The 20,328-nt window shown below is 34.2% G+C and overlaps 1 annotated feature.

Annotated features, from left to right (window-relative positions):
• Positions 17,547 to 17,841: a silencer, noted in NCBI's record as "tiled region #6433; K562 Repressive non-DNase unmatched - State 24:Quies". NCBI's record gives its function as "represses a minimal TATA promoter and a strong SV40 promoter by Sharpr-MPRA in K562 cells {active_cell/tissue: K562}" and the evidence as "EXISTENCE:reporter gene assay evidence [ECO:0000049][PMID:27701403]".

The raw sequence follows: 20,328 nt of genomic DNA on the forward strand, positions 1-20,328 counted from the left end.
CATATTTTCTTTATCCTGAACTGTAAGTTTTATATCTTCTACCCTGGTAAATTTTATGCATGTCAATTAGAAGAGGCATTTTAGAGAAAAGGCATAGATGCATGTTGAACAGTGATACCTGTCTCACTACTCAACATCCTCATTAGTACCTTGTTTAAATTACATTTTTGGAAATTCTCCATATGGATAATTATGAATTGATAAAGGATTCTTTCAAATGATGTCTACATTCAGCACTAGAAAGATTATTAAATAATCTCTCCCACATTGTTGCCATTAATGATTTCACTCTGAGCCAGGTTTGATACTTATAGAAACAACTGAGTGTTAGCATATCATTTCACTTTCAATAATTTGAAACATAGGGTGATACCAATTTCTGAGATTTATACTCAGACCTCAAGTAAAAAAGACAGAAGCAGAGTAAAAGAATGGCAGAGAGAGAGAGAGAGAGAGAGAGAGAGAGAGAGAGAAGGAATGAATTTCCTATCTAGATTCCAGAGATAGAAAAGGGCTTAATTCTTTAACAATATTAGAAGGACATAACTTTTCTTCCCACTCACTGGAGTGACCCTTGAAATGTGGAAAGAATCTATTATCATTATTTTGAAGGCCTAAAGCAGAACCGTATATTTAAAAGCATATGCCTAACACTTTTAGAAAGCATGAGACATTACAAAAGAATGCAAGCCATAAAACATAATTATTTTTCAGCATTTAAGGAATTGATTTTACTCACTTAAGGAGTTGGGAATGGGTATACATCACTTCCTAATAATTAGTAATATACTTGGCAAAAAGTGATTATATAATACCTGAAGTCAGCCAAACATGGACAACCTAATATGGTCAGGAAAAGCAATAACCTTTAGGATGCTAAACAGGAGGTCTGGTCTACATTTTTAGAAGGGATGTGGACACAAGGTTTAGTATTTCATGTTGGTGTCTCTAAACTTAATATGGGTATTTCTCAGGATGTAAAGAAAGCTAATCATTTACTCTGTAAACATTTGTTTTATATGTTTATTCTAGTAAATAACAGGAATATTGGGCATTGAGTCATTACACAGGATGAATTTTTGTCATTGTTTGGAAGGACACTTGTTTATTATAAAACGTTTTTGAAAATAGATATTCAATTGAAAGGACCGCATTCCTGTCTATTTCTGAAAATGGTCAATTTTCTAGTTAATTACTGGACAAGATGTGTTCTGCTGGAGGACACTGGTCATGAACTCCCTTTGGCTCTCAGAAAAGTCAAGTGGCTGCCTTCCTGTGTCTGCCTCTCCCCAGGAAATCACCGACTAAAGTCAGAATCCTGAACTCTCTTATCAACAACCTTAAATGCTGGGAGCAAAATCTGACGTCATGAGTGTCCATATCTTTCCTGCTTTCTGGAAATGCCTGTTGGATCACCCATGGAAATGTGTAGGAGGAAAACGAGCAATAGGGATTTTTCAATTTGTTAGGTAGAACTAGTGCTTCCAGTTAATTATTCATTTATATTCCCCCTATGGCTTTTAGATAAGTTTTATATTATTTATTTTTATTACATGAATTCATATGTAGATTCTATTGGCAAATTTTGTTCCTAAAATAGCAAATAAAACTAAAGAGTTTTTGAGTGATCACCAAACCCATACCCTTCATACTATATCTTTTTATTCCTTTTGCCGTGCATATACATTGTATGTGACTGTGTATGGATGTGTGTGTATGCATTCATATACTTATAAACTATATGTAAAACATATGGTTAAACATTTTTTCCATATAGTTTGGCTATTTGCATTTCCTCCCCATTAATGTCCTGTCTATAACATTCAAGTGAAGAGCTTATCAAAATATAAATATACAGGGATTTTTGATATATGAATTATTTCATAGGTTTTATCACTGTACAGGTCACTTAGAAAGATTTTAGACATCTTTCCTTGTCAGAGCATAGAGAACTACCAATTTCTTTAAAATTGCTGAATAGGTTTTCCATAGAGTATATTTAACAGATTTTATTCAAATATTCCCTTTTTGTGCCTCTTTGCACATGTTTCAGGTTTTTCTAGCATAACCAGAAGTAGAATTGTTCAAAGGAACTACATATTTTAATTCTAATTTTAAAGGAATTCTGTGAAATTCTCCTTCAAAATAGCTGCACTAAATTATTCCCAGCAGTCATGCATGAAAGTTAATGTATCTCTCATCCTTGCCAACACTTGAGACTGACAAAGTTTTAATTTTTTGCCAAGTTGATGCAAATTATTGCATCAAATTTTGTTCAAATTTTCAGTTCCCTGGGTAACAAGTGCAGTTGAGCATATTTTCCGTATAGTTATTGGTCAGTTGCATTTCTTACCTTAAATTTCCAATTTATGAAATTCAAATAAATGCAATTATTATTGTTATAGTATTATTTTTGTCTATCTTTTACCTATATTTGGTGAAAGTATTTTCTTGTCAAATTGAAGAAATTACTTATATATCTTGAATATCTATTTAATTTGTGTTATAAATGATTTCCCTGTTTTATGGTTTGTCTTTTAATTTCAATAATCACATATTTTATAATATAAAACCTTAAAATTATGATTTAAATTTGTCAGACTTTTTCTTTATAGCATTGTCAGACCTTTTCAAAGCCACAAACATACTCTCATTTTTGTTAAAGTTTTTTTTATATATGTTGATTTTAATCCATCTGGAATTATTTTTTGTAAGTGGTGGGTGGAAGGTAGGGTTTGAATTTTATTGTTTCCAGATGGAAAATCTGTTGCCCAATATCATTTAGTGACTAGTTTATTCTCTTGCTGATAGGAAATGCCACCTCATTTACATATGAAATTCTCATAGATGCACATGTACTCTTGACCAATTTCTCCCATTTAAATTTATAAAATTATACCACTTACAAATATTAGAAATTCAACTATTATTGGCAATAATTATGCTCTTCATTCATTTAATAATGTTTACTGTTTACTGCATGTCTATTATGTGCCAATCCCACTATTCTAAGCCTTGGGAGAGAGCAATTAGCAAAATAGACTAAGGCCCTGCACTCATCGCTGTTATGTCTGTAAGGGGTGGTGGGCCAGAGAGCACCACACAACCGACAGGTATGATGTAGCTGAACTGCAGGGTGTCAAACTTAAAAAAATGTTGACATTCTCTTATATAAAGATCTCATCCATTTTATCTTCACCAAGATAAGGTATCTGGTGTTTTTTTTTTCTTTGAGACAGAGTCTCGCTGTGTTGCCCAGACTGGAGAGCAGTGGTGTGACTTCGGCTCACTGAAACTTCCGCCTCCCGGGTTCAAGTAATTCTCCTACCTCAGCCTCCTGAATAGCTGGGATTACAGGCATGTGTCACCACACCTGGCTAATTTTTGTAGTTTTAGTAGAGATGGGATTTCACCATGGTGGTCAGGCTTGTCTCGAACTCCTGACCTCGTGATCTGCCTGCCTCGGCCTCCCAAAGTGCTGGGATTATAGGCGTGAACCACCGCGCCTGGCCTAACTTACTTATTTCTAAACTTCACATCAGAGGTGATCACTATGCAAAACTCTGAAACTATAGAAAAAGTACATGGCAAGTCCTTTTTCCTCAAAAAATTTGAAATCAATCTGAGGAAATGAGACAGCAACAATCAAAAGGATATGATATAAATAGTCAAAGGGCCTAATAAATGAAAGGCTTCAAGATAGTACAGCGTTAATTTTAATATTAATAAAATAAACAACAAAAACCATGCCAACCTGAGGGACCAGGTCTTTGTGCTGTGGACAGATTGGTCTAAACTCTACTCTAGTTATAAGTATACAAATGATTGGATACAAAAGCATGGCATTCTTGATCAGGGGAATTTCATTAGTTTTACTGAAAAAAAGAAAAGGATGTGTCATTAGAGAATAGACGGAAAAAAGTAGTATAGAGAGAGCTTTTAGAGGTCCTTAAATAGCTAAATAGTTTGTATCTTATCTACATCAAGGGAAATCAAAAGAAAACTTTTCAGCAGAAGAACATGGTCAATGTGTAACTTCAATGAACCAGTGGTCCTGGAAACCTTGAAGATAAGACTTCTCTAGACAAAAATCTGTCTTCTTTACCTTAACTTTTCTTTACATTTTTCTCTTCTCCCAAAGATGCTCAGTATCCTTGGGCTGACCTTTTCTCTATATTAGTGCCTTTTGGTATTTTGGACACTCCAGAAATACAAAATATTCTTCTCTATTTCTCAACTCCCAAGGAAAAATTAAATAGCCTCTGCCACATATATAATGAATCTAAAGATAACCCTCAAGCACAGATCATCATGGCTGCTCTTGAACCTACCTCTCCTGTAAAATACATTTGCATGTAACATGAGTTGCTGAAGAGTCAAGAGACAAAAATCTCTTTGCTCAAAAGTGTATGAGAATTTCTGTTTCTGGGGTAGCCTGGGAGGAGAGATGCTTTTGTCTCTGGGTAAGCTTTAGGTCTTGCGGTAGCCTCTAAAATGATTTCCAATGATCCCCACCTCTGGGCTTTCCTCTGTTCATGTCATCCCCTTTTCTGAAATGTAGCCTGGACTTCTGACAAACAGGATACGGCGAAAGTGATGAGATGTCACTTCTACGATTAGGTTATAAAAGACTGTTTTCCATCTTGCCTGTTCTCTCTGGCTCTCTCTTTAGGTGATAATGAATGCAAGCCAACTGCTATGTTGTAAACTGAGTGATAGAAGGCCCCTATGGAAAGGGACTCAAGGAGGACTCAGTCTACCAGCTAATGAGGGCATGAATACTGTTAACAAACATGAGAGTGAATTTGCCCCTAGTGGAGGTTTGAGCTGGCTGCAGCATTAGTTTGATTGCAGCCTTGTGAGAAACTTCCAGACAGAAGACCCAGCAAAGCCACACCCAAATTCCTGACCCAAAGAATCTGTGAGATCATAAATAATTTATTGCTTTGACAAGCTGCTAAGTTTTGGGTAATTTGTTGTTCATCAAATATAACTAATACAGGCCACCTCCCAGCAGAACATTTTGTAGCTGTTGTAGGACTCACAGAATGTTGGCATAGGAAGAGATTGAAATCAACTGAATTTATGCCCTGTTAGATGTTTGAGACCCCTGTAATTTCCTGCTTAGAGACGGTCAAGTAAGACTTGCACATCTCCCATGCTGTAAACATCTTAACACAATTTTCGGTTGACTCTGGAAATTTCCCCTGTAATAGTCTGTTAATAATGATGAACTTTTATGTCTCCATGATCAACTGTCATTCATGTTGGCTTCTCATTTGTGATAAGAAAAATTATATTATCTATTAAAATTGATGGGAAAGGAAAAGTATGTCGTTTAGAAGATCATCATTCTTGGTCTAACTCGTCTTTCTATAGCTGAGTTTCCCGTGTAACAACATGTAATCTCAGAAAATTGAAATGTAAAATGTCAACATAAATGTGCTCTGAAGCCATGATAAAAAGTGAAAAATGGATTGTCTCTGTAGTTGTAATAAATACCCACAAATATTTCTTTTTTAAAAAAAGATAAAATACATCTAACAAATTGTATAGTCATGTCAGTGATTTGGCTTTTTTAGGAAGAAAATCTGCACAATGATAATCCATAAACTCATAACATTAATAACAAGCTCTCCATTAATAACAAGCATGAGACAGCTGCACTGCATCTTGAAATCCCACAGCATTTCCCAACTGCACTGCTAACAAATTGAAGTCATACACCCAAATGTGGTGAAGCAATCCATTTACTAGCAGCTGTGAAACACTGGTCAGCTGAAATAGACTCTGAAGATAATTTAACTGGCAAAGGCAATTGAAAAAATACTGCACTCATGGATGATTTGTGAATCTGAGGCTATTGATAGCCTGCCCTTATCCCTTGGGACTCATCCCTGCACTATGAAGGCTGCTTATTTCAAACACCTGCTGCTCTCTGCCTGTGAGCTTTAATTCTGACCTATGTTCAGGGCAAACCAGAAATGCTGGAGGAGGGATAATGTTCTTTATCCAAGCTTCAACCAATGTTGGAGTAGAAGTTGGAAGATAGATACACCATCTCCCTTCATCTCTGTTGGTGTAACTTCAATGTATATTCTACATTGTCTCCCAGAGTCTCCCCTCCCACCTACACACATTTAAGCAGCAGTTGCCCACAGTAGGAACTGCTTTATAATGTAGCCTTTATTGCCTGACTTTCCTTCCTTATCTTATTTTTCTACCCCACTACTAGTGTTTCCTGAGATCACTTCTAATAACTAGCAATGTTCCGAATATCACTCAAAGTATTTGGACTCAAATCCATGTCTCCACTTCGGTTGCTAGGGAAACCCAACCTAAGACAACTTATTTGGCAGTTGCGCATTTAAACCAGGTATTATACCCAAAGAATTTGGGAAGTTTTATACCCACTGAAATGCTTAACAACAGAGGACACAAAATGCAGCAAGTTTTCTCGAGTAAGGAACCAAAACCAGACTTGGGACATTACCTTTTGAATTTTTGTTACATTTTCTTTTACATATCTTCAATTTTGAAGTGGTTCCAGAAGTCCATTAGCTTTTGTTACAACAGAGATTTCCAACATAGTCTTCAAACCTTCATGAAACAGAGGGTTAAATATAGTATTCCACAACCCAAAGAGACTGTGGATATATGTATCCACAGAAAGGTTCACAATATTAGCAATAACTATACCTTAATAAATGCTTATTATGGGACAGGAAATGTGTTATTATACATATTTACCTTTTCTGTGTTCAAAATAACCTTAAGCTTTAGGTACTGTTCTTGTTGTCTTATTTTGTCATTTTCTAACAGATTCATTGTTGACATAAATGACATAAAATATTTACATAAAGTACAATTTGACAACTCTAGACATATGTATATACACATGAAATAATTATCATCATTAGGATAGTGAATATACCCCAAGCTCCCAGAAACTTTCTCATGATCCTTTGTAATTCCTCTCTATTCCTTACCTCTTCTCCCCTGCCTTCCTCAGGCAACAGCCAGAATAGATTAATTTACATTTTCTAGAATCTTATGTAAATGAAATAATACAGAATGTACTCTTGCTATCTGACTTCTTTCATTCATAATTATTTTGAGATGCATCCGTATTATATATATATCTATAATTCACTCTTTTATTGTTGAGTTTATTCTGCTGTATGGACCTACTACAATTTGCTTATCCATTCACCAGTTGAAAAACTACATTTTTTTTAAATCCATTTACCTGTTGACTTATTCTTTCCAGCTTTTGATTATTATAAATGTAAACATTTTTGTATAAGATTTTGTATGTATATAGGCTTTCATTTTGGAGATATAAATAGCAGTGCAATTACTAGATTGAATGGTAAATATATGTATAACATTTTAAGAAATTGCCATTGTATCATTTTATATTCCCACCAACAATGTATGACAATTCCAGTTTTCCACATCCTCACCAACACTTGATATTATTAGGCCTTTAATTTTTAGCAGTTCTTACAGTGTGTAGTGGTATCTCATTGTAGGTTTAATTTGCATTTACTATTGATTGATGTTGAACATCTTTTCATCTGCTTATTTGTCCTCTGCATATCTTCTTTGGTGTTCAAGTAATTTGCCAATTTTTATTGATTTGGAGTTTTTTGTATTATTATTTGGATTTGAGGGTTATTTACTTATTCTTCACACAAATCCTTTATCCAATATATGTTTGTCAAATATTTCTCACATTCTGAGGTTCATTTTTTTCATTCTGTAAATACCGTTTTTTGAAAATAATTTTTAATTTTGATGAAGTCCAATTTGTCAATGTTTTCTTGTATGAACTATGCTTTAGGCATCTTATCTAAGAACTCTGCCTAACCAAAGGTCATAAAGGCTTTTTCCTTTGTTTTCTTCAAGATGTTTTAAAGTTTTAAGTTTAATATTGAAATCTACGATTTATTTTGAATTAATCTGTATATATACTAAGAGATATGGATCAAAATTTATTTTTTGTTTATTCAATATATCCAGTACTACTTGTTTAAAAGACTATTCATTCTCCATTGATTTTCCTTTGCGCCTGTTCCTAAAATCAATGGTCAATGAATATGTAGGTCTATTTATGGAATTTCTATTCTGATCTATTATTATCGTTGTCTACCGTCACACAAACACGACACTGTCTTAATTATTATAGCTTTATAAGTATTGAAATCCAGTAGAGTTACTCCTCCAAATTTGCTTTTCTTTTTAGTTATTTTGGCTATTTCAGGTCCTTTGCACTTTCCTTTGAATTTTAGAATCTTGTCAATTTCACAATAAAATGCCTACTCTGGTTTTGATTGAGATTGCGTTGAATCTATTCATCAAATTGGAGAAAATTGCCATATTAACAATATGAATCTTTAGATTCATGAGCATGAGATGTCTTTCTATTTATTTAGATCTTCTTTAATTTCTCTCAGTAATATGTTGCAGTTAAAATTGTAGTTTTCAATGATTAGCACTGCCACATCTTTATTCAGGCTTATCCTTAAGTACTTTGCATTTTTGATGCTATTGTAAGTGGTGTTATTTTAATTTCTGAATATTCACTGCTAATATATAGAACAATAATTGATTTTTGTGTATTGCTTGTACTCTGAAATCCTGTTCAAGTCAATTATTAGTTCTAGGAGCTTTTTTTGTAGATTTATTTGGATTTTCAAGATATAATCTAGCTGTCTTTGAATGAAGACAGTTTTCCTTCTTCCTGTCCAGTTGGAACAATTTTAATTTCTTTTTCTTGCTGTATTCAGTAGATGAAATCTCCAGTACAAACTTAAATAGAAATAGTGAGAGTGAACATCATTGTCTTGCTCCTGATCTTAGGAAGAAAGCATTTAGTCTTTCACCATTAACTATGATGTTAGTTGTGGGTTTATTGTAGATGTTGTTTATCATGTTAAGTAACTTCCCTTATGTTGCTAGTTTGCTAAGAATTAATCTAGGAATGGATACTAGATTTTATCAAATCCTCTTTCTGCATTTATCGACAAGGTCGTGGGGTTCCTTTTAGGTCTACTAATATTGTGCATTACACTGACTAATTTTTTTTAATGTTACATAAACCCTGCAATCAATGGATAAAACCTAATTATCCATGATATATTACCTTTTTTATTTATCAAATGATTTCATTTGCTAAAATTTTGTTTAGAATGTTTGCACATGCATTTCTGAGGGATACTGGTCTACATATAATATAACGTATCTTGTCCGTCTTCTGTATTATTAATAGTGCTACTTCATACAATGGGTTGGGAAATATTCCCTGCTCACCAATTTTCTGGATGTATTTGTATGAAAATTGATATCATTTCTTCCTTAAATGTTTGCTAGACTTCAGCAGTGAAGCCAGTTAAGCCTGAAGTTTCCTTTGTGGGAAAGATTTTAATTACAAATTCAATTTCTTTAAAAGATATAGGGCTATTCCACTTACATATTTTTCTTACATGAGCTTTAGTCATTTGTTTCTTTTAAATTATTTGTGCATTTAATTTTTTGTTGAATTTATTAGCGTGCAGTTGTTCATAATATTTCCTTGTTATCCTTTTAAGATCTGTAAAATTTGCAGTAATATCACCTCTCTAATTCTTAATTCTTATAATTTGTATCTTCTCACTTTTTTTTTCCTGGTCTGTCTGCCAAGAGGTTTATCAGCTCTATTAATCTTCTCAAAAAATCAGCCTTTGGTATTTATTTTTCTCTGTTATTTTTCTGTCTTGTATTCCATTGATTTCCAGTATGATTTTTGTTATTTCCTTTCTTCTGCTTATGTTAATCTGTTCTTTGTTTTCTAGTTTCTTAGATGGAGGTTAAGGTAATTGACTTAGGATCTTTCTTGTTTTATAAAATAGGATTTGAGTACTGTAAAATTACCAGTAAATGCTGATTTTAGAGCATCTCACAAATTTTGAAATGTTTTGTTTTAATTTTAATTCAGTCTAAAATATTTCCTAATTTATCTTTTGATTTCTTTTTTAACTCATGGATTATTAGAAGTTATTACCAAATAATTGTGGATTTTTTAGAGTTTTTTAATGTTAATGATGTTTATTTTTCTCCCAAGTTGACAGAGAATGTATTTTGCATGATATGAATCCATTTTCATTTATTGAGATTTATTTTAATGCCCAGAATATTATCTATCTTAGCAAATGTTTTCTGTGTACTTGATAGTAATGGGTATTCTCCTATTGTTGGGATGGGTTTCTAGAAATGTAAATTAAATCAAGTAGGGTGATTATGTTGTTCAAACTTCTGTATTCTTACTATTCTCTGTTTTGTTCTACCATTTGTTGAGAGAGACATATTGACATATTTGACTATAATTGTGGATTTACTCATTTTTTCCTATGGTTCTATCGGTTTTCACTTATGTATTTTCAAATTCTGTTATTAAATGCATAAACAATGAGGATTGTTACATCCTCTTGATGTGTTGACTGCTTTATCATTGTGAAATGATCTTCTTTATATCTGTAATATTTTTTACTCTAAAAATGCCTTTTTCTGATATTCACATAATCTCTTCAGCTTTCTTTTGCTTAGAATGAGCACAGTATATTTATATTTTTTCACTCTTTTAGTTTTAACTTGTTTATTATTACATTAAATTATATTTTGTTTTACACAATATAAAATTGGGGCCTTATGATTTTCCAATATAGTACATTTGCTTTTTAGTAGGAGTGCTTGAAACATTTGCATTCAATGTAATTACTGTTATGCTTAGATTTAAGTCTGTCACCTTGCTATTTATTTTGCATTTGTCTCATCTCCCTTTTTCCTTTTTCCATTGTTTGGATTAAGTATTTTGTGATTTTATCTCCTTTGTTGGCTTACTAGGTATAATTTCTTGTTGCATTTGCTTAGTGGTCTTTTTTGGGTTTGTAACATGCATCTCTAACTTAACACATTCTACCATCAACTGATAATATAGTCAGTATAGAGTTTAACAATCTTAACAATCATATATACCATTTCATATCTCCTCTCCCAAATCTTGATTGTTACATTTTTACTTATGTTATAAATCCCACACTACATTATTATTTTTGTTTAAACAATAAATTTTCTTTTAATACAATTTAAATAATAAGAAAAATAATTCGCTTATATTTACCCACATAGTTAACATTGCCAGTGTTTTTCATTTCTTTGTGGGTCTATATTTCTACCTGCTGTCATTTTTCTTTTGTTAAGAAAACTTCCATTAAGATTTCTTGTAACATAGATCTGTTGGAGATGAATTCTTTCGACTATTGTGTGTTTGAAAAAAATTCATTATTTCATATTTGTGTTTAAAATATGGTTTCTTTTCTGGGCATTTGGAACTCTGAGTTAACAGGCTTGGGGGGAGAATGGGCAAGGTTTCAGAATTTTCAAGCTGTTGCTCCCTTGTCTTCTCTCTTGCATTGTTTTCTGAGAATAATATTTTTGTTCATCTATATAGATATCTTTTTTTCTTGCTATTTAAAAATTTTTCTCATTATTACCGAGTTTGAGCAATTTGATCAAGCTGTACCCAGGTATACTTTCTTCTTCTTCTCCTTCTTCTTCTTCTTCTTCCTTTTCTTCCTCTTCTTCTTCTTCTTCTTCTTCTTTTTGGTGTTCATTGAACTTCTTGGATCTTTGGTTTTTCATTATTCATCAAATTGGGAAAAAATATCAGTTTTGTTTCTTTAAAAACCCTGCCTTTTGGCATCTCTATTTACTTGTGTAGGTAAGCAACGTGAAGTTGTTCCTTAGCTCTTGGCATTTCATTTCGGATAGTTTGTATTGCTATGTCTTCACATTTTCTAACAATTTACTCTGTAATGCTCAATCAGCTATTAATCTCATCCAGTGTATTTTTTATCTCAGACATTATAGGTTTCATTCTTAGATGTGTAATCTGATCTTTCATTTCTCTATTTATCTTTTTGAATCTATGGAAGCTGCCTTAATGTCCTTGCCTGCTAATTCTAATATCTGTGTCAGTTCTGGATTATTTTCAAGTAATTGATTTTTCTTCTCATTGTGAATCTTATTTTCCTGTTTCCTTTTAAGCCTAGCAATTTTCTATTGGATAGCTGGCATTGATTGCAAATTTTATCCTTTCGTGTGTTAATATTTATATATTACTATAAATGTGTCCTGTAGCTTTATTATAGAAGAGAGTTAAGTTACTTACAAACAGTTTAATCCTTTCAGGTCTTGCTTTTATAACTTGTTAAGTGAATCCATAGGATACTTAGTCGAAGGTTAATTATTCTTTACTACTGAGGCACTGTATCCAATGTTATATGAATTTTGAGGTTCTCCAGTCTGGCTAGTTGGTACAGCCACTGTTCTCAGCCCTGTGTGAGTGTTAGACGATGTTCATTCTAATCCTTTTGACTCATTCTTTCCTTGGTCTCGGGTAATCTCTATAGAAGCAAGTGCCGATCACTGCTCTGCTGAGTAGCCACAGGACACCCCTTGCATATTTCTGGAATGCTGTCTCTATTCAGCTCTCCCGTTTCCAACACTTTGTCAAGAGAACTGTAGACAACTTGTTCTCTCCACACACAGCTCCTTCTCCTCAACTTAAGGCCAGAATATTCTGGGCTTTCCCTGGGATTCTCCCTCTCTTTGCCAAGGCATAAAAATTCATAGAATGGGGCCACTTAACGACTCACCTCCTTGGTTTCATGTCTCTCTGGGATCGCCATTCTTGCTTGTCTAATGTCCAGTGTCTTGAAAACCATAGTTAATATATTTCATCCAGTTGGTTTTATTGTTTCTGATGGAAAGATAAATCTGATCCCTATTATTCTATTGTTGCTGGAACCAGAAGTCCCCTGCAATTCCTTATTGCAATTTAATAAATGAATAAACTAAAACACAGGGAGTATCTTGCTTAAGGTCACACAGTATTAAGTGGTAAGGGCAGAATTCAAACATAGAATTTCAAATTCCAGAGCATTTACTCTTCACTACTACTCTCTACAGTTTATGTAAATCATATTTCAGTCCTTGCCACCTAGTTAATACTCAACAACTATTACTTTTAATATTATTGATAATAACAAGAAAGCTATTAAATTGAGGCAAAAAATGTACACAGAACAAAAAAATTAAAAGATCAGATTACTTACATACAGGCAAGGGACTCTAAATCACATAAAGTAATAACATAAAGAACAACAGTAATTCAGGTACAGACATTAAAGAATTTTTTTCAAATAGTTAAAGTTGAGCAAGAAAATATGGATCTAAATCTTAACACAATAAATTCAGATTAGGCTTCAGGAAGAAATTCTAATTGTGGAACATTTTAGAAACCTTTACTTGGGTTGCAAAAAACCAACAAAACATTTTAGAACATTTAGAAACAAACTGAGCTCCTCTGCATTTCACACTAAGGCCATTGCACGGCATCCGGGTCCTTTTGCTCCTCTTGGGAGTCCCTTTTTCACAGTTTCTGCCTTAGGGAAAGGTCATCATCCCAGTTTTTCTCTTGCATTATTTTCACCTTTATCTGTTTCTTCCAGAGATTCTAGTGAAAAGCTGAGAAGACTGCACTGTGAATCAGATATACATACATATATCCCTGAAGGTGTTCTCCAGTGAGGACTCCCCCGAAAGCCACTGACTTAAACCTTCTCAAGACTGATTCCTGGAAAATGTAAATAGCTCACTTTTTGGAAATCATGCGAATGAGAGGCCCAGATGATAATGTAAAAGCATTACTAGAGTTAAGGGGAAAAAATAAGTTAGGTCAGTCACTAGTTTATCATCACATGTGTTTTATTTTTTTTAATGGGGGCATCTTTATCATTTTGTTTCTGATGAATATATAAAAGTGTATACTGGACTACGCTCTCTATATATGCACATATTATATATGTACATACATAACATACACACGCACACACACACATGCATGCACACACAGACGTGCGCACACACACGCACACATACATATCCACAAAAGGCTGAGAAACTTGAAGTGACAGCTTTCAATCTCTCCTCCAGTCCTTTGATTCTGTCTAATTAAATCTAGCCATTTCTCATACATTGCAGTAGCTGGCAGGTAATATTCATCATTTGGCAGCCAAGAAGGTGATGTTTATTGCAAACCTTGAGAGTGAGAAAATACTATAATAGTTCCTTTTCTTCCCAATCTGCCTCCATACAGCTAGAGATTAAAATTAATACTGTAAAACATCTGGCTTAGGGCCTGGTACAGAATAGGAGCCTAATAACTGACACCACACATTTCTATGAATGAAAAATTTTGGGAAATAAAAATATTACTGATGGAGGGAATGAAGTCAATTAGAAAGAAAAAGAAAGAATGGGGAGGACAGGGTAGCATGGCACTCAGAGCAATTTTTTGCTCAATCAGAAATTGGAAAATGAGTAGAATGTATAGATAAGACAATGATGAACATAAGCAATCAATTTTTTGGTTTAATTAAGGTCAAGTTAACAACATATCCCAGGGGACTAAAAGTTACAAGGCACTCAGTAAGTGTAGTTAAACACCATCTCAATGGACCCTTGGGACAATCTCCATTTTCAAGAGGATTTGGAAGCTCCTGAATCAAGAAGTGAAGTGCAAAACTAAAGGTTTCAATAAGACTAGTGGAAGGGAGGAGAGAGCAAGTATGTTTTACAGAAGATACTTCAGGATAGATGATAAATCAGGCTTGGAGGACAAACGCCTCTCTCACTATCATCTTTTCTCATCTTTGGTAATTCCATACTGGCCCGAGTGGCTTTATTCTAACTTGCTTACTAATGCTTCAATTTTAAAAAATGTTTTTGCTGATTTAACCTCATTGAAACAGGAATCAAGTATATAAAATACAACGAATATTTAATGGAATACTCATATATTTTATCAAACAATTTTACATGGTAAATATAAACTTCCTGTTACTTTTTCCTTTAAAAAAACTATTCTCAAATATATCATAGTGTATCTCATATCCCCACCACCATGAAATTTTTTGACTGAGATTTGCTCTTTTCTCTTGCACCCGATTAGTAGTTTTGTTTCCGAATCCACTGTACTGAGTCACTCACGTCTGTAGAGCCCTCATGGTTTTTCCTCACCTTTTCAGACAATAGAAATATGATCATTGCAGGCAATGGGTTATTATCTGCAACTCCCAGGAGACACAGTTCCTTAGATATTCCAAATATTTCATCACAGGCCACAGCATTGTACATTTAGGAAAGAATGGGAAAGAATTGCATATCCACCTGTGCATGATATTTCTGTAGTTGCAAAAGTTATTCTAGAGAAATTGCATTTTCCTCCTCCTTCTTATCATTTAATAGCATGCTTTGAGGTGCATACACCCTCTGGGAAGATGTGCTCTCTGCCCAATGGGGTTGCTGCTAAGAAACTCTGGGAAGATGTGCTCTCTGCCCAATGGGGTTGCTGCTAAGAAACTCTGGGAAGATGTGCTCTCTGCCCAATGGGGTTGCTGCTAAGAAACTCTGGGAAGATGTGCTCTCTGCCCAATGCGGTTGCTGCTAAGAAAAGGCCCTGACTGACCCTTTCCATCAAACCCACATCAACCCTTTTTGAAGACCGAGCTTTTAATCATGTACGTATTTAGCTCTGAATTGAAAAATAAATGGTATCCAGGGCTAAGTGACTTAGCAAACAAATGATGCGTGGAAATTACATAGCCATGTACTCTCTTGAATTGTCCCACAGAATTGGTTTAATGAGATGGAGATGACAATTAACTTTTTCCAATTAACATGTCTCTAATTCAACATTCAGTTGCTGAATGTCAAAGAAAGCTCCACAAATCATTCAGGGGTCAACAACTAAATGCTATGAGCAGAGTTTTTAATGATCTTACTTTCTAATTTTAATATGAATTTCAATATTACATTAACATCCTCTTCCCATTTCAAAACATTAGACCGGTGGGCACTGCCCCTCCTTTGCTCCAAAAATGCAGAGAAAACAATAGCATTTAGAAATCTGAGAACTTCAAAGAACTTCTTTATTTTTGTCTAGATAGGAATAATTGCAACAGTCCAAGGCCATGACATTTGGGGTCAAAAGAATTGGATTTGAATCTTGATTCTTCCCTTCCTAGCCGAGAGGCATTCTGCAAAGTGCATAGTCTCTGGTTCATTTTCTGTAAAGTGGGAGAAATATTAACCATTTTTTACAGAGCTGTCATGAGGATCAAATAGGTTAACATACATAAAATGTCTGACAATGTCAATTCCTCCTATTTTAATGTAAACACAATATTGTGAGTTCAAATCTTATTAACTGCCATAGTTAGAGGGATCGGGGTGGTGTCCATATTTCCCTGCCAGAATTTATAGGTTGCAGTGACACATGTGTCAACTTATTATTATAAGGAGTCTTATCCTCTGTGAGTAGATTTTCATAATTTTTCTTAGTATTTCTCAACTCATTACAGTTCTGTAGGCAATTGTCATGCTATATACAGAAAAGCTAGAGAAGTACTTGATAATTTGTCTAAAGCTTAGCAGATTCTTTGACTCTTCTAGCCTACCCTGTGGCATGTTCTGATTCAACTGTACTTTTAGCTTCTGGGTTCCCCCAAATCACACCTTATCATCTAAATCTACGATATTGAACATTTTAAACTCCAAGTGCTCATAAGTAAAAAATAACTTATACATACCGTCTATAAAATAGATTTATTTATAAATGATATGTATGCACTTCTGTACTAATGCAATCCATACATTTTAAAACATGGATTACAAAATAAACATAAATAAAAGTGCTCATATTTTCCTTACATATTACAGTAGATCATCTTGCACATCCCTTGGTGTGCATTTCTTTTGAGATATAATGCTTCTCCTGTTGAAAGTTGTATGATGGTGGGGAATGAATGAGGCAGAGCAGTTGATGCTAGAAACTATCATTGCTTTGTTTTAAATTGTTAAAACTTCTTTATAAGGTTATACATTGGCCATATTTTTGCTGTAGCAGATTCTTTTACTCTCATTTTACAGGCAGCCAAATCAGGCTTCTTTACTTTGCCAACAAGAACTGGAGGGAACTGGGCTCTTGGCTGAATGCCAGCCAACACTTTTACTAGCTTCATGTTTTTGTTACCAAACATTACATCGTGTCCTTTGAGATTTACAAAGTTGGCTTCAATCCCCAGACTGAATTCTGTGCAAATTTTCTTGCCCTCTCTAAGATTTCCACAAGTTCCACAGAAGGTTTATATCCCCATGGTTACCTCTCCCTTCACTTTCTCATTGTGAAATTCTCTATCTTGTTTACTTCTTGCTACCCTGCAGGGGTTCTGTCCTCTCACCTTGAACCTACCCAGGAGAGAAACATGGGTCACCAGCATAGGAAATGACTATAATAGCTGGAAGAGCTATATCACACTGCAGAGGAGCAGATATTTACAAATAAATATTACTTATCTTCTCATATTTATTCTTAAATATTCTCCCAGTCTTGAGCAAACTTTGTTTCAAAGAGGTGAATTGCAGGACAAGGGAGGCCAACATTAGAGTTGTGCAATAGCACTTCACATAACAATTGTTGATCCTTGTGTCACTATACCAATATGCCATAATCGTGACGTGTGATACAAGTAATTTATTCATAACAGACTATGACTAATACATATTGTTACTAAATCAGAATGGAATCAGGGCTACTCTCATAAAAATGTCATTTTCACTTCCTTGAATTGTTATACAAATTACAGAGTAGGAGAGAAAGTGGTAGCATTGCAACAAGTGTGCTGGGAATGGTGCATAAAACTGGTGTATCTCTGAGAGTTGCCCCATATGTGAACTTTAACCATGCTTAAAGCTTCAGCAAGAAAATGTTAACTCTCACTCATTTAGACCAATGAATCTCCAGTATGGTATCCATAATCAATGAGCAAGTAAGTTGATTCAGTGGGTCAAAAATTAAATATTATAACTTATACTAATACTTACTTTTATCTCATACTTTAAAATTTATCTTTCGTTTGCATGTAAATGTAAAAATACATGCAAAAGTTTTAAAACACAGCCATAGTTATTTGACATTTTTCTCATCAAGATTTGGGTCTATGTTCCCTCCCCTTGAATTTAAATTTTTGTATAAATAGAGGGTGGCCAAAGAGATGCTATGTGACTTTCAAGGCTAGGTCATAAAAGGTGATGCAGGCTTCACCTTGTTTACTGGAACACTTGCTCTTGCAACCCTGAACCACTATGTAATGAGTCCAAACATCCTGAGATCCCCATGCTGTGAGGGAGCCCAACCTACAAGGAGAGTTCTCATGTAGGCACTCTGGTCCATCACAAATCCCAGGTGAACCCAGCCTAAGCACCAGACATGTAAGCAGAGAAGCTTTCAGATGATCCCATACTTCAGCATTTTGAGTCACTTTCAGCTATTTGAGATTTCCTGTTGAAACTCCAGCCATTATGGAACCAATGCAAAACAACCTCTGTCCACATTTCTGACTCAGAGTACATGAGCATAAAAAAAAAGTTTGTTGTTTTATGCTATTAAGTTTTGTGGGTTTTTTAATGCAGCATTAGATAATTTAAAATCCAAACAATATATCAATATATTAGTACATTTAAACAATTTACAGATAGATTTACGTTGTTACAGTGTATACAAAACAAATTTTACTGATGGAATGAGAGCAGGATAAAGAGGCTTGAAGACCACTGAGCTCAATAGCAGAGAGTGAGCCAGGGCGTATAGAAACTAAAGGTAGACAGGAAGAATGTGTAAACAGATGGGCTAATGTGATCCAAAAATAGAGCTGAACATCAGATAGGAAATAGTATATTGGCTAATCAGTAATCATAAATCGAATTGGCAAATGCAAGAATCAAAGATGTGACAGAGATTAGGTAAAACAAATCCAATTGCATAGGTAGAGAATTAGGTAACAGATCTCAGAGACTTTCAGGTGACCTAGAGACAAAGGCAAAAATTCAGTGCTGCCAAGAGCTTACACGCACTTTCTCTTAGAGTAGAAACAAACTTCAGGCTTGTGAAGCAGTGGAAGCAAGTGAATAAAAGCACCACATTGAAACAAAGATTGTAGAGGCAGCACTGAGAAGGCTGGCAGGTAAGGATTTTCTCGACCAGGGGTAACCTGTTACTTTGTCTTAGGGCTCTGCACATTTCCTTGAAAGTAATGAGATATAATTCATTGATCCTACACTCACTCCATCAGTAAAATTTATTTTGTATACACTGTAACAATGTAGATCTATCTGCAAATTATTTAAATGTACTAATATATTGATAGATTATGTTGTTTGAATTTTAGATTAATGTTGCATTGAAAAATACCATAAAATACATATCATAAAATTTTACCTATTAAGAAAGTATGTTTTAATAGGTAAAAAAAGTTATGATGTTTGCATAACTTTGTGAATATACTAAGAAGCACTGTTTTTGTTGTAGTATATTCACAAAGTTATGCAAATATCACCACTCTCTAATTCCAGAATATTTTCATCATCCCTAAAAGAAACTCTATCCATTAGCAGTGACCACAGTCTCTCCTCCCAGCTCCTACCAAACTCAAATCTACTTTCTGTCTCTTACAATTTGCCTATTCTGGACATTTCATTATAAATAGAATCATACAACATGTGGCCTTTTGTGTCTGGCTTCCTTCTCTTAGCATACGGTTTTCAAGGTTTATCCATGCTACAGCAGGTATCAGTACTTCACTGATTTTTGTAGTTGAATAATATTCTATTGTACTACATTTTGTTTATCTGCTCATCAGTTGATGGAAATTTGGGTTATTTCCACTCTTTGGATATTATAAATCATACTTTTATGAATATTTTTGTACACATTTTTGCATGAATATATGTTTTCAATTATTTTGGCCATACACCTAGGAGTGCAATCGCTAGATTGTATGGTAACTTTAACTATTTGAGAAACATTCTGTTTTTCAGAGGTTGAAAATTTTACATTCCCACCAGCAATGTGTACAGCTTTCAATTTCTATACATCTTCACCATTTGTCACTTATTATTATCTATTTTTTAAAATTATAGTCACTCTAGAAGTTGTGGTATCTCGTTGTGGTTTTGATTTGCATTTCTCTGATTAGCTAATAATATTGAGAGTCTGTTCATGTGCTCATTGGACATGACTAAGTTAAGTTTAATTTAGCTTTTGAGATGTATGTTTTGTACAGCAGGTGATAAAATTAATGTATGAAAGAACCATGTCTGTTTTGCTCACCTTTCTTCCCTAATGCCTGGTGCACAGGAGAGCTGTGTCTATTCACTGACTGAGAA

This window comes from Homo sapiens, chromosome 20 (genome assembly GCF_000001405.40).
Source record: "Homo sapiens chromosome 20, GRCh38.p14 Primary Assembly".
Lineage (NCBI taxonomy): Eukaryota > Metazoa > Chordata > Mammalia > Primates > Hominidae > Homo > Homo sapiens.